Source organism: Homo sapiens, chromosome 11 (genome assembly GCF_000001405.40).
Source record: "Homo sapiens chromosome 11, GRCh38.p14 Primary Assembly".
NCBI lineage: Eukaryota > Metazoa > Chordata > Mammalia > Primates > Hominidae > Homo > Homo sapiens.
The window spans coordinates 132,464,126-132,480,195 of record NC_000011.10 but is presented as its reverse complement, the minus strand read 5'-3'; the positions used below and the strand labels follow the sequence as shown (position 1 = coordinate 132,480,195).

Genomic DNA, 16,070 nt, shown 5'->3' with positions numbered 1-16,070 from the left:
GTTTTCAGCTCCATCAGCTCCTTTAAGCACTTCTCTGTATTGGTTATTCTAGTTATACATTCTTCTAAATTTTTTTCAAAGTTTTCAACTTCTTTGCCTTTGGTTTGAATGTCCTCCTGTAGCTCAGAGTAATTTGATCGTCTGAAGCCTTCTTCTCTCAGCTCGTCAAAGTCATTCTCCGTCCAGCTTTGTTCCATTGCTGGTGAGGGACTGCGTTCCTTTGGAGGAGGAGAGGCGCTCTGCTTTTTAGAGTTTCCAGTTTTTCCGCTGTTTTTTTCCCCATCTTTGTGTTTTATCTGCTTTTGGTCTTTGATGATGGTGATGTACAGATGGGTTTTTTGTGCGGATGTCCTTTCTGTTTGTTAGTTTTCCTTCTAACAGGACCCTCAGCTGCAGGTCTGTTGGAGTACCCGGCCCTGTGAGGTGTCAGTCTGCCCCTGCTGGGGGGTGCCTCCCAGTTAGGCTGCTTGGGGGTCAGGGGTCAGGGACCCACTTGAGGAGGCAGTCTGCCTGTTCTCAGATCTCCAGCTGCGTACTGGGAGAACCACTGCTCTCTTCAAAGCTGTCAGACAGGGACATTTAAGTCTGCAGAGGTTACTGCTGTCTTTTTGTTTGTCTGTGCCCTGCCCCCAGAGGTGGAGCCTACAGAGGCAGGCAGGCCTCCTTGAGCTGTGGTGGGCTCCACCCAGTTCGAGCTTTCTGGCTGCTTTGTTTACCTAAGCAAGCCTGGGCAATGGTGGGCGCCCCTTCCCCAGCCTCGCTGCTGCCTTGCAGTTTGAGCTCAGACTGCTGTGCTAGCAATCAGCGAGATTCCGTGGGCATAGGACCCTCCGAGCCACGTGTGGGATATAATATCCTGGTGATCCGTTTTTTAAGCCCGTCGGAAAAGCGCAGTATTTGGGTGGGAGTGACCCGATTTTCCAGGTGCCGTCTGTCACCCCTTTCTTTGACTAGGAAAGGGAACTCCCTGACCCCTTGCACTTCCTGAGTGAGGCAATGCCTCGCCCTTTTTTGGCTCATGCACCCACTGACCTGAGCCCACTGTCTGGCACTCCCTTGTGTGATGAACCCGTTACCTCAGATGGAAATGCAGAAATCACCCGTCTTCTGCGTCACTCAGGCTGGGAGCTGTAGACCAGGGCTGTTCCTATTCGGCCATCTTGGCTCCTCTCCCTATTAAGAACTAATTCTGTGCATTTTGTTTTGATGTGCTCTATCTCCTTGTGAAAAAAAAATGCCTGAACATTTGATACATGTTCAGCTGATGAGTAGTCCTTTATTTTTCAATTAGGATAATCACTGACTTTTATATTTAACCCAAATTATATTCTCTTGGTCTCAGCATACGTTTTGCTTCTTCACTGGTGGATGCAGCCTTTCTTCAGCCTCTTGAAGCAACCATGGGTAATAAGCGCAACTGTAAATCAAAACCAGTTAATCTTAGAAGCCAAAGAATGACCACAAACAAACTTAAGAACTTTACTAGGCTCAAGCAGTATTATCTTGATGATAAAGACAACAGTTATCAACTATTATTTAACAAGTCATTAAATGGTAAGTGGAAAGGATTCACTCACCATGTTCACTGTTGAGTTTAGAACATCTGTATTTTTGTTTTCTATTTTTAAGGACTTTATTCCCCCAATGTTGCTGTTAGATTTTTGCTTAGAACAAGAAGATCTTTGATGTGAATGACTCTTTGGGGGGCTCATGTTAAGGATGTGTTGTGTATCCCGTTATCTGTCTCTTCACTTGTCTTCCTGTTCTTCATCTTTCTCATCTTCCTCTTCCTCACCATCATCATACACTGCACTTATTAAGCACCTACTGTGTGCCAGCCACTCTATTCTCTGTACTTTCCTTTGCACTGTTTCATTGAATCATTCCCTATCTTATAGTTAGAAATGGTATTTTAACCTATTTTAAGCTTGAAAAATTGAGATTTAGAAAATGTATGTAAATTATGGAAGAACACAGTTTAAACTTAGAACAATTGGTATTTGATTCTAAGTCTATTTGAATACAGCCAAATTTATTATATACTGTATTATATCATTTCACATGCCTTGACCTTCATTTTAGCATAGTTAATCTTTTACTTTACATGTGAGTATATTCTGCAAACTTGCTGAATTTCTAACTTGCTAATTGTCTTCAACTTTAAATACCTTCCATTATTTTACTTGAAAACCCTCCATATATTTAAAAATGAATAAGCAATTCTATTTGCTATTATCTCAGAAATATATGCATACATTTGATAAAGTATTTCCCTTTTAGATATGTTTTCAAAGGGTCTTCATCTGTAAATCAAAATCTTTACAAGTAAATTACTCTATGCACCCCAAGAGATTTTATAATGAAAATAAAAAATAAGTAGACAGGTAATACTCTTTCCTAAAGTCAATGATTACCTTAATACATCAGTCTATGTTCCCTGTCTTTGGGCATTACACCTACAATACACAGCACCTGAGAATAAAAACACAGCACACACTCCAGAAAAACATATGTTCATTCCCGATGAATTTGCTTCTGTCTTGAACTTTGCCTCCATTCCTCATGTTGGAGGTTAAGAGTGCTCTCCTCTCTCAATCTTACATTTAAAAACAGGGACAGCTTTGCCCTCTTCTCTTAGCCATATCTTGACTGTTCCAAGCTTTCCAGAATGACAGTTGCTTCCAACACAGAAGGTATGCCTAGCCCCAGAAGGCTTCCCACTCCAAGAAGCATCTCACTCCAAGTTCGGCTGGACTGATAACCTCTTCCCTCTTTCCTGAAGTCCTCATCCCCAGTGTGCTACTACCTGTCTCAGTCTGAGATGAAAGGAGACGTCTGTACCACTGTGCAGGAAGAGTGGATTCTCTGTGGCTCTAATCCCTGTGTACTTCTGGAACTACCTGGTGCAGCACAGGCTAACTGGGGAAAAGAATGTGCAGCCAGGAATGTGTTGTGGGCCAGGGAGCTTGAGATGGGTGTATGGGGACTTGGCTTCAAGAGCCATCTTGGGCAACTCACTCTGGCTCTGAGTCCTCATTTGAAAATCATTGGGTTGCACTCTGTTATCTGTGGTCTCCAACCTGGGAAACCTGGGAACCACAGGGTGAACATGAGAGTCCATGTATTATTGCCAGTGTTTAAAAATCTTATAAAAGCCCAAAGATAAGTGGTCAATTTACCTATTTTTGACAAAAATCATATTAATTCAGCATAATGGATACTCAGATTAAAAGGACACTTGCATTCAATTTTAAAAATTGGGAAAACAAATGCAATTTGTTTAGTAGATAAAATATTTCAAACAATGGGATTCATGGAAGTAACACTTTTTTTAATTTTTTTTAATTTTTTTATTATTATACTTTAAATTTTAGGGTACATGTGCACAACATGCAGGTTTGTTACATATGTATACATGTGCCATGTTGGTGTGCTGCACCCATTAACTCGTCATTTAGCATTTGGTATATCTCGTAATGCTATCCATCCCTGCTCCCTCCACCCCAAAACAGTCCCCTGTGTGTGATGTTCTCATTCCTGTGTCCATGAGTTCTCATTGTTCAATTCCCACCTATGAGTGAGAACATGCGGTGTTTGGGTTTTTGTCCTTGTGATAGTTTGCTGAGAATGATGGTTTCCAGCTTCATCCATGTCCCTACAAAGGACATGAACTCATCCTTTTTTATGGCCGCATAGTATTCCATGGTATATATGTGCCACATTTTCTTAATCCAGTCTATCATTGTTGGACATTTGGGTTGGTTCCAAGTCTTTGCTATTGTGAATAGTGCCGCAATAAACATACGTGTGCATGTGTCTTTATAGCAGCATGATTTATAGTCCTTTGGGTATATACCCAGTAATGGGATGGCTGGGTCAAATGGTATTTCTAGTTCTAGATCCCTGAGGAATCGCCACACTGACTTCCACAGTGGTTGAACTAGTTTACAGTCCCACCAACAGTGTAAAAGGGAAGTAGCACTTTTTTAAAGGTGGCTTAATGCTGAGAAAAGCTATATGATTTCTAAGATTTTTTGAACTTCAAGAGTATGGCTCTTTGATTTGAAATTTGCATGTAAATATAGTGTACATGCTAAAAACATGAGAGTGTGTATATGTATCTTACATAGTGCTGATAGCGTCAAGTACTTTTAAGGATTCTACACATCTTCACAATAACCATTTGAGGTAGATACTCTTAGCATCTCCATTTCACAGATGAGAAAACTGGGGCGAAAAGAGGTTAGGTTACTTGCACAGGGTCACACAGATGGATTTGTCTGTGTGTCACTCTATCATAAATGTATACAGATGAAATATCTGTATATATACCTGTTCATATGTAACGTACATTTGAATTCAATAGCCATACAATGTTTGGCAAAATACTGCATGTTACATGAGTTTTCTGTGCTGAAAGGAGGTGTATTATTAGTTTGGGCAGGCTGTCATAAGAAAATATTACATAATGGGTAGCTTAAACAACAGAAATATTTTTTTTTTTCACGTTTCTGGAGGCTGGAAGTTCAAGTGCAAGGCGCATGCAGGCCTGGTTTTCTTTGAGATATCTCTTTAACTTGCAGATGGCTGCCCTCTTGCAGCCTCTTCACATGTTCTTTTCTCTGTGCTCCTGCATCTCTGGTGTCTCTTTGTGTGTCCTAATCTCATCTAATAAGGACATCAGTCAGATTGGATTTGGCCCACCCTAATGGCCTCATTGTAACTTAATCACCCCCTTAAAGACCCTGTCTCCAAACAGTCATATTCTGAGATGCTGGAGGTTAGAATGGGGGTGGGGCACAGTTACAGTTCAGCCCATAGCAAGAGGTTAATGAATTTCTTGAAGCAGCTCTTCAGAGTTCCATGTATAGCACACATTTTAAAATCGCTCCGAATAACTCCTTTGTTTCTGTACACTCACTGACTCACTTAAGAAAAATGCAATAGGAGAAGAGGAGAAGCAAGCCTATCTAATAACTGGAGATTTAGGCCAGCCCTCAGGCCTTCATAGGTCTTAGTGGGGGCTTATGTATTTGGAGGGCTTTCATAAAGAACTCTCCAAAACCCAACCTTTGCTTCTCTCCAGTGGAATCTGTTGTGACTCAGGCAGGGACCTCAGGGCTGGTGGAGAGAAGGGAAGAAGAAAGCACAGAAACCTAGGGCTGGTGAAATAACTAGCAGTATGGCAGGTGGGAGCAGTATTTCCAGTAATGGTAATGGAGAGAACATGGCAGCTGTGGCTAAGAAAGAGGGTGCTAGAACCCAAGGGGGACAGTTATTTTGTGACCAGGGGATTATGCCTTTCATCAGGTGGCCACACAGTTGAGGTGCCAGGTATGACTAGGCGTTTTACACCATAGTGACTGCAATCCACGACTTTGGAAGACAGGCCCACAGGAACCAGATATGTGTCCTGGTTCCAATAACATATGCTGGTTCAGGGTGGTGCTCCACCCTGGTGAGGACAGGAGCATAAACAGGGAACTGAGACAGAAGACCAGCTATATGAATGATGGATAGCAACAATCTGTTCAGGAAGGGAGGCTAGAAGTTTTCCGCAGTGGCCAGCCATTTGGGGGCCACTGCAGAAAAATTTCTGGTTCCTCCAAATAGTGAGGCCTGAGATTCTGAGAACACATTCAATCTTGATAAGGGAGAATGTGAGGCTGAGCTGGGCAGATGCAAAGGGTGCATGTCTTTGCTACCTATCACATCTGGGGCCAGCAAGGACTGAAGAGGACAGGCCACAGGGTCACTGAGAAATGCCTATTGTTTCATCTTCCTGCTTTTCCATATCCCCTGGGCTCTTTTCGCTCCTATGTGAAGAGGTCCAATTCCTCTTAATTTACTCTCTCCTTGACAACAGATTCCAGAAAGCATTCTGTTCTGGTAGCTTCTCCTTGCAAATTATAAACAGGGTAAAAACTGGGCCAAGGAATTGACCTGGGGAGCAAAGCTACAAAGGCAGGAGGCAGGCTACCTGACCCAATCCATCTCTCTCTATCACTAATGTTTCTGACTCTGTGATTATGATTTTATGAATATGATTGCTGCTGCATGTTGGGTCTGTCTGCTGGTAAATGTAGGCCAGTCGTCCCCTCCCACAGGCCCGAGCAGGCTCCTCTCCATCAGCTGAAGTCCTTCATCTCTCCCATCCTTCCTGCTACGTGTTCCAGGGATGGCTCAGCTACATACCTGAGGCCTGGCAAGTTCACTGATGGCTCCTGCAGGTAATTGGCCTTAGATTGTAGAGAGTGCTGTTAATTTCTCTACAAATACAGTGTTCTGTTTGGATTTTCATCTGTGCCATGACTTTTGGGCCTTATGTAAAGCCATTCCTTTACGTAGTTATGGATTATGATTTTTTTGTGTGACAGAGTTTCACTCTGTCACCAAGGCTGGAGTGCAGTGACATGATCTTGGCTCACTGCAGCCTCGATCTCCTGGGCTCAAGTGATTGTCCAGCCTCATTCTTCTGAGTAGCTGGGACCACAGGTGCACACCACTATGCCCTACTATTTTAAAAATTTTTTGTAGAGACAGAATCCAGCCATGTTGCACAGGCTGGTCTCGAACTCCCAGGCTTAAGTGATTTTCCCACCTCGGCCTCCCAAAGTGCTGAGATTATAGGCATGAGCTACTGCAATTATGAATTTTGGCTCCAGTGATAGTGGAGAAGCACCTACTCTGAAAAATGCAGTCTCCTTGTCAGTTTCATTATTTCATGCCCTGCACCAATAGGGAGGGAAATGGATCCTTGACCTAGTTAGGTTTCCTTAGTGATCACTCTTTCATATTTGTGGAATTGGTAGGGCTGCCTCACTTACAGATTGGGTCTTTCCCCATAAGGGAGTAGCATCCAGAAGAGGTAGTTTCTGTGTCCACAGTAGCTCGAGGGCTCTTTTTCTGTCCTTCAATTGATTTTCTTCCTTTTCATGAATTTTCACACATTCACAAATTTATTTTCACAAGTTTTCACAAAGCTGCACATTGGCTGGGAATCTGCCCCTGGGAATGGCTTTGCCAAAGGTCATTCACTTGGCATTTGCTGTTTGGCACCCCTTGTCCTTAATGGAAGAGTTGACTGATTTGAATGAGAATTTTTCATTGCCGTGCATTAAACAGCTGTTCTCTCTAACCAGATGCTTAATATGGTTCCTCTTCCAAGCCTAGTGAAGGGAGCTGGCTCGCTAGTTTGCAGTTGAGAGAAATGATCTAAGAGCCTAAGGATACATAGAAAGAATCCCCTGGTGGTTTGGGGTAAAATCTCCTTCTTGGGTTAACATTCAGAGCATACGAGGCATTTTTAAAAAGTGGCCTGTTGATTTGATGAAACTGAGATGTCAGCGCAGCACTGTGAGGTAGTGAGAAAGATACAAATGCCATCAGGCCATGCTTCCACTGCCCCCTGCAGTGACGATGCACAGAGCACTTGTGCTGGGGACTGTGGGTCCCAGTGGGGAGAGATTGTTCAGTGCAAGCTCCACTCTCCCACACAGTTCCTGCTGCTGGAAGCTCACCTCCATTTATTCCATTTATCTGAAGCCCTGGCCAAGCTGCAAGCTACTGTGACCCAGTTACCATGGAGAACTTGTATATTCTTGGCTTCCTTGCTGCTTTTACAGGCAGAATTACAGAAGAGAATGTCTTTGCTGCTAGGAAATATAAATATTACAGAGAGATGCTCATTTTCTCCCTCTATGATGATTATTACCAAAGATATGCAAGAAGACTTCATTACAGAACATTGTCCTTCATAATGAGCCTTCCGTAGGCTTTTACAGGGATGGATAAGCCTGCCAGAAATGGATTGTGTTAACCCTCGGCTCTCTCCTGAATAGACACAAACTAGAACCATTTGCACATTTAGCAGATTTTTGTGGAGTGCTTACTATGTGCTAGGCTCTGGTGATACAGAGACAAATGAGATACTGTCTTTGCCTTCAAAGGTCTTAGAGTCTAATAATGGAAGCTAGAACTCCAAACAAAAACACATGTTGCAATGACTTTCACCAAGTGCAGAGAAGTATTTAAAAAGGTAGGGATATTCCCTTTATGTGACATGTATGTATGTTGGTTATTACATATTTGTCAGGAAGACGACTGAAGAAGCACCCCCAAGCTGAGTGTTGAATGTGGAATATTTGTTCACCAGGAAAAGGGAGGGCCTTCCAGAACCATCTTTAGCAAATGAGTTTTGCCTTCATGATGTAGGCCTGCTGCTACTCCTCCACCGTGTCTGTGTTTCAGACAAGGAAAAGAGGGTGAGGGAAAGTGAAGGCAAATGGAAAAGAGGCACATGTCAGCTGAGCCTGCTTTCAATGTGGGCTGGAGTTCTCATTGAATGGGATGGGCTCTTGAGCTACAAGAGAGCCTAGATTGTTGAGTGTATTTAGCTAGGTCCGTGGCTATCCTTAATAAAATTAGGAGTTGCTCAATAAAGAGTGGGTGTGGTTGACAGCCTCCAAGATGGTCATGAATGATTCTCAACTCCTGGAATGCATGGCCTTGTGTCATTTCCTCTGACACTAGTTCATTTACAGCGTTGCAGCTTCTGTCTTGGTCTTTTGTTGTGAGGATAATTAGGCAGCCCTCTGGAGACACCCACAGATGGAGGAACCAATTTCCAGTTGCGAGAGTGAGCCAACTTGAATCAGGTCCTCCAGCCCCAAGCAAACTTTCTGATGGTTGCAGCCCCAGCTGGCATTTGGCCACAACCTTATAACACTGAGACAGAAACAGTCAACCAAGGCATTCCAAATCCCTGACCCACAGACACCATGAGAGACAACAAATGATTACTGTTGTTTTAAACTACTAAGCCTGGGGTATGCAGCAATAGATAATTAATAGATAACTGAGTCAAGAGGAGAACAGGAGCAGTACCTGAAGAGCAGATGACTAGAAGGCTGTGCCCCACCATCCACAGCCATCCCCTGCCATGTAGACAAAGTGCCTCACCTGCCATCAAACCCCCTCCTCCCAGCTGTGTTTTTTGGCCTCACCTTTCTTCCTTTTCTCAAGCAACTTACCACTCGGCTGAAACTTTATCAAGGGCTGTATTGAATAATGCGTTACCAAATTCATCGATCATTTTTTGATGCTCATTTAACTGGAAACGGTTGCTCATGAGCTTCTTTTCGAACCACTTTTCTTGACTTCTAGGACCTCACATTGTCATGGGTTCTTTCCTGCCTCCAAGAAACTTGTTTTCAGTTCTATCTGAGGTTCTCCTTTTTCTTCTTAATTCCTAAGTGTTGGCTTATTGAAGAGTCAGGTCCTAGAACGCCTTTTCTTCTGTCTCTACTTTTTAATAAATAATCCTAACTGGTCTTCTGGCTTTACACATCAGCGATATGATGCTGACTCACAAATTCATATTTAGTAGAATGGTTAAGAGCATGAACATGGGAACCAGACAATCTGGGTTTCAATCCTAGCTCTGTCACTTGGTAACTGGATGACCTTGGGCCATTTACTTAATCTCAGTTTCCTCATTTCTGTAGTTAGGATGCTAATGATATCTATGATCACACTTAAGGGGTACTCAACAGACATGAGTGGCTTCCACTGCTGCTATTATTACTGCTTTTACTATTGCTACTGATATTCCTCAAACTTCAAACACATTCATGCGTTCATGCTCACATACGTGTCAAATCTGTCTACTGGGCATCTCTATTGAGTGTCTAGTAGATATCTCAAATTTAAGTCCAAAGCAGAATCCTGCATTTTCCTGTGAACCTTACATAGTTTCTGCCCTAATTCACTCAGTCTCAGTGACTGACACGGCTATCCATCTCATTGTAGCACATAGAAAAAAATCTAGGTGTCATTCTTAATTCTTCACCTTCCTTCATTTTGAATAGCTGATCTAGTAGGAAGCCCTGGGGTCCTTACCCCCAGAACTCATCCCAAATCTTTCCTTGTCTCTCCCTCTCCTGTACTGTTGCCAACATCCTAGCCACTGGTGCTTCCTGCCTTAACTACAAACATGCCCTCTGCACCCTCCATGCTTCCATTTTTGCATCCCTTCTGCAACAATGTGTTCTCTATTCAGTAGTCATCTTTTAAAAACAAAGTCAGATCATGTCACATCACTTGCAAGGTCAAAATCCTGAAATGTTGTCTGAGAGCACTTTGCATGAAATTCAAACATCTCTTGCAGGACTGGGCCTTAAACTACCTGTTTGGCTTCTTCTTATGACCACTACCATCCCCCACCACAAACACACATACACGTACACACACACTCACACACTCCCCCCACACACATACACACATATACAGACACATACCTACACACACACACCTCCCACACATACACACCCCCACACATACATACACACACATACAGCCCCCCACACACATACACACACCACACAAACACACACACACCCCTCCACACACACACCCCTCCACACATACACACACACTCACACCCCTCCACACATACACACACATACACACACACTCACTCCCCTCCACACATACACACACATACACCCCCACACATATACACACACATACACCCCCACACACATACACCCCCACACACATACACACACACCCCACACACATACACACATGCCTATACACATACACATACATCCATACACATATACACACACACAGATACACACACACACCCCACACACATACATACACACACACCCCACACACATACACACACATACATACACACACAGTCACCACACACACACAGGCACACAGGCACCACACACACACATACATTCACACACACATACACACATACACACGCACCCCCACACACAAACACACCCCAGACTCACATACACTCTCTCACACCCACACATGTGTGAGCCCTGCCCTGTGCTTGCTCTGCTCTAGTCTCACGAAAATTCTCTCCATGTCGCACCCAGTTATTCTCTAAAGCATCACCTTGTTTCACTTTTAAATTGTGATTTTGTTTTTATTTTCCTATCTTTTCCCTCTTATTTTCTTTTTGCTTCCAACTCCCTCACTAGACTATAAATTTCATAAGGACATGTATCTTACATCTTTTATTGATTGATGAATTCTTGGCACTTAAAACAGCTCAGAACAGAGAAGGTGTTCAACACATTTGTCTAATGAATAAAATTCAGAAAAGACAAAAGCAGTTGTCCAAGAATATTTCTAGAGCTCTTACTAACTGGTTTGGGTAGTGGTTACTTTCAATAACATACAGAAGGCAAGATAATTGGAGGTGAGGCAATGAGCATAATTCTAGACATGTTGAGTGTGGAGTGCCTGTGGGATATCTGGGTGTGATTGGATCAGTATGGATGAGATCCATGATTTTAGAGTGCAGGAGAGTTCTGGGAGGTATATGTAGTTTTGAGATCCACCAGCGTTTACCATAAATGACCTAATTTAGTTTGAGACTTTTCCCTAAAATGAGCTTCCAGAAAGAGGTAGAGCTGCTTTACCTTAAAGTCCTCACAGAGCGTTATGTAATCTAAAATGCTCTCTTAATTACTTGTTTAGAACAATAAAGTAATGTTTTGGCAGATACATTAACCTGAAACTACCTCAATCAATACTCATTTGGAATACTTGGGATGTTTTCTGAAAGAATCAATTTTTTTAAAAAAGGCTAAAGATTTTTAACATTGATTTAAATAATTATTTTTGTAGCTGCAGTATAACAATTACAAGTGTTAGGTATTACTGTAACAAGATTTTTAGAAATCGTTTTAAAAAGCAACATAACGAGTGCAGATCACAAACCTCTACAATCCATACAACTCTATGAAAAATGAAAACAACTAACATTTTATGCAAAAAGGCACTAGTTGTTCAGGATTGAATTTCCACTGATAGGTATCTTGAGAAAGGATGGGGGTATGGATAGAAAGTGTGCATGCTTTTATAATTAGTTTGCCTGCAGAGGGAAGGAGAGGTGTACTTTGGCTACAGGGGCATTTACAATGTAAGGAGTTGTTTCTAATGATAGGAAAGCACTGGCCATTCACATAGGTTGAAGAAAAAGAGCCAGAGGAGAGTGAGCAGTTTAGAGATCAACAAGAGCTGAAGCATGAGTAAAGGCTAAGCAGAAAGAGAGGGAGGCTGGGTTGGAAGCCCAGATAGGAAGATTAGCTTTGTCCAAATGAAGGAGTACGCCTTCCTTTCAACCTGTAGGTCACAAGATTAGGGACACACTGTAGGTTTGTCAGCGTGGAGATCAGAAGCTAGAGGGATGTCAACAGCCTCCTTGAACGCATCTATTCAACCTTGCTGTTCACCGTGACACCAAACACTTTGCCCTGGAGTTGTCAGCTCTCCTGGCTTTTGAATGCAGCTTGAATAGTGGCTGGAAGACTCTGAACTTTGAATTCAGAATCTTTGATTCTCATTTGGTTTCATAGACCATTATCACTAAGATTTGTGAGAGGCTGTGATCTCCACAATTCTTGTAGTAACATGTGAGGCTCCCTTTCCTTCTGACCCAGAAACCCCTTTCTCACAGTGCTGCCTTGGGGAGAGGGAGGAGAAAGTTCATTTCCGCACTCAGTATTCTCCAGTGAGCATACCCTCATGGCATCTGGGCGTTGGTGTGCCAGCCTTTTAAATGACAGCATTAAACTGCATCTCCAGATCCACTTCCAACTCTTACATTTTAAACATCTATAAACACTTAACTCACATGATGCCTTTAAATAATAAAACAAGGTGGAATATAATTAAGGGGCAAAATGAGTTGTACAGACAATTTGTGCTGTGAGCAGTCTTTTTAAGTTGACTAATGTGACATTGTTCTGCAGGAAAAGAAAACTTCAGCATTTTATTTTCAGAACTACCTGACCCAAATTAGGTAACTGGAGTGTGAGGAGGGAGGATTGAAAAAGTCCCAGAGCACCTCTCAGGTGACGGGAACTCTTGCTTTCCTTTGTAATCCCACTGAAGGGAGACGGAAGGCTAGAGGAGCAGGGCTGCACAGGGACTCGGCTTCTGTCCAAGGCGTCATTCCTGCCTGCAGAACAATGAGCCTTCAGGCCAGTGGACGAGTCTGTTATCAGCCTGCAGCAGGCTGAGAAATAATCTCCAGCCACTAGCAACAATGGGTGCCGTATCTCAGGCCAGGTAATGAGGAGTCTTTAAACTGCATCAGCTCGATTTTATTATCCTTTAGTTTTACACTTCTCAGCCTAGAATGGTCTTATCTGTTCCTTTTTGTTGTTCTGTGGAAACCCCTCTCCCTCCACAAAGGAAAAGATATTAGGTGGCCTTTTTCTTTCCTTCTTTTTTCAAATTTGAAGCCACAGCATTATAATAAATCTCTATAAAAATACACATAAGTGCATGCATAATTAAAATTACCTGCCTCAGTTTCTTTTGTGCAATATCTGATCCAAAATGGATGAATGTGTACCAACCACATTTTAATGACACGGACCCGAGGCTCCAGCCCCGAATGCTTATTGGGGTCCTGATTAGGGAGCAGATTTATCTATATCCAGGCAAACCCTACAACTCCTCGGCTGGAGGCACATCCTACACCAGCTTTTATATGTGCTCAGAGACATCAAGGAAGAAAGAAAATCTTGGACTGCCCAGGCTAGCTGTTTCTATCTTGCTGATTCAGTCCAAAGTATTAACTGGTTCTTTCCATGCGTTTCTCTTAAAAGCTGTTTTTTCGTTCCAACAAACATTGACCAGGATTGAAGCAAGCTTTTTTTTTTTTTTCCGAGACGGAGTCTCGCTGTGTCGCCCAGGCTGGAGTGCAGTGGCGTGATCTCGGCTCACTGCAAGCTCCGCCTCGCGGGTTCACGCCATTCTCCTGCCTCAGCCTCCTGAGTAGCTGGGACTACAGGCGCCCGCCACCACACCTGGCTATTTTTTTTTTTTTTTTTTGTATTTTTAGTAGAGACGGGGTTTCATCATGGTCTCGATCTCCTGACCTCGTGATCCGCCCGCCTCGGCCTCCCAAAGTGCTGGGATGACAGGCGTGAGCCACCGTGCGCGGCCTAAACAAGCTTTATGTCTCATACAGAATCATTCAGACTTGCTCCCATGGAGCCTCCCTGTGCCATTGTCTTCTATCAGGAGACATTCCACATGAGTCTGAAAGGGAGGATGGCCCTGGTAGGAAGGGGAGTTGGCCTACTTAAGATCAGAATTTATTTCTCTATATAGGTGTGCATTGGTGGAGCTCTGCATCAAATGATTCCTAATTCACAAGAATGAAAAAGACAGGAATGTGAAGCAGTGAGCTGAATACGTGTCAATTAGCCTATGATCCCTTTTAGTTTCTCAACTTTAAAGATAGGTATAGGTTAATCATGCAAAATAAAGAACTTGGTTTTATTTTTAAAACGCATCTGGAAGACTTCAAAGTGAATTCCAAAAAGAGTTAAACATAAAAATGAAAAAGCATTAAAAAGTATATAAGATATTTGTATAAGTGTGAGTTTGGGAATAACTTTGTAATTAAGACTCAAAGTGCAGAAGTTATAAAAGCAGCTGACAGATTTGGCAATGTCAAAAAACTTATTACAGTGAAAGAGATTCATAAATGAATTTAAAAGAAACATATCAGTCTGGAAGAAAATATTCATAATATCTGTAAGAAAAAAGATGCTATACACAAAATAACATAGAATTCTAAGAAAATAATATAAGAAAATGTAAAAAAAAGTCCAATCGAAAAATTGATTAAATAAACAGGAAATATACAGTAAAAAAATACAAGTGGATAATAAAAATAAAAAGGATGATTGATTTCACTAGAAATCAATTCATTGCAAATTACTATAAGGAGATATTTTACAGAATGAAATTGGTAAAATTCAAGGAGATAAATAACATGTGGCTTTGTTGTGAATAAGGAAAGGGTCATTCTCAGGTACCCTAGCGGAGAGTGAAAGTTAGGAAGCTCAGTGTAGACCAATTGGGTAGCCTTCACTACATTTTAATGAGTATTTCTAAGAATCTTTTCCTTAGAAATTCTTGTATTATGACCAAATGTGTGTAGAAGGACGATCATGGCAATGTGCTAATAGAGAGAAACTGGAAACAACCTAAATGCCTGTCACAAGGGGGAGCATTTAAATAAATTATGATGTATCTTTTTATGTAGCCCATAAAAAGAATGTGGCAGATCCATATAGACATGAATAGGTCTATTTCATGAAAAAGTTAAAAAATAATAAGCATATTTTGCCATTTAGGTAAATAAAAAAGATCGATATGTATATACACACCTCTGTATGCATAACTACACAGAAACTGTAACATTAAGATGTAGCATTAATTGCTAACCATGCTTTCCTCTGGGGAAGGGAATGAGAAGAGGGTAGTCATGAGTAGGAGCTACTTTCACATCTTGTACATATAACACACTTCTTAATTGTTTGAATCTTTTATCAGGGAGTTTACTCATTTTTTAATTGTGTGAAAAGAAGTAAAGAAAAAAATATTGCAGATCCCAAGTCATATGTTTAATTTATTGTTAATCAATAGAGGGGCTTACTCTGCGTGGCGTTAATTTGAAAAACCCCGAGAAAGCATCAATGATTTGCCCATTTTCCCAGATAAAAAGTAGTTTGTTAAGGCGAGGACCATCAAAACAAGAATAACTAATAAAAGTAGAGATATTTGATTAATGGAAACTTTTATTTATTCATTCTTTTACTTAACAAATAATTGTAGAGCCGCTGTTTTGTACCAGGCCATATTCCAGACATTAGAGATTAAGCCATGAACTAAGCATAGTTCTTGCTCTCGTGGAGCTTACATTCTAGTGGCCAGGCTGGAGGCGGTGGGTAGGATGGGGTGGGTGTCAGACAATAAACAAATACACGAGTACATATACAGTATAATGTCACGTGGTGTGAAGTCCCCTGATAAAAACATAGGCAAGATTAGGAGGCTGGGGTGGGGAATATTTGTGATATTCCATGTGGCAGTCTGCGACAGCCTCCCTGGTGATAACTTCCAGACAGAGACATGAAGGAGATGGGGACACAAGCACTTTTTGGAAGAAGAGTTCAGAGGGAGTGCAGCAGCTGCAGAGGCCTTTGGAGGGAAATCTTCTCCATCTGCTG

The 16,070-nt window shown here is 42.0% G+C and overlaps 1 protein-coding gene across 8 annotated transcripts in view, besides 1 other annotated feature; it reads left to right on the top strand.

Moving 5' to 3' along the window:
• The window catches only part of OPCML (opioid binding protein/cell adhesion molecule like), a 1,117,521-nt gene that overhangs the window by 1,052,306 nt on the left and 49,145 nt on the right, over window positions 1-16,070 (top strand). The gene's annotated exons all lie outside the window — the stretch shown is intronic.
• Window positions 8,144-9,343: an enhancer, noted in NCBI's record as "CDK7 strongly-dependent group 2 enhancer chr11:132340747-132341946 (GRCh37/hg19 assembly coordinates)". NCBI's record gives its function as "activates an origin of replication core promoter dependent on BRD2, BRD4, P300/CBP, MED14 and CDK7 cofactors, with strong dependence on CDK7, by STARR-seq in HCT116 cells {active_cell/tissue: HCT116}" and the evidence as "EXISTENCE:reporter gene assay evidence [ECO:0000049][PMID:35650434]".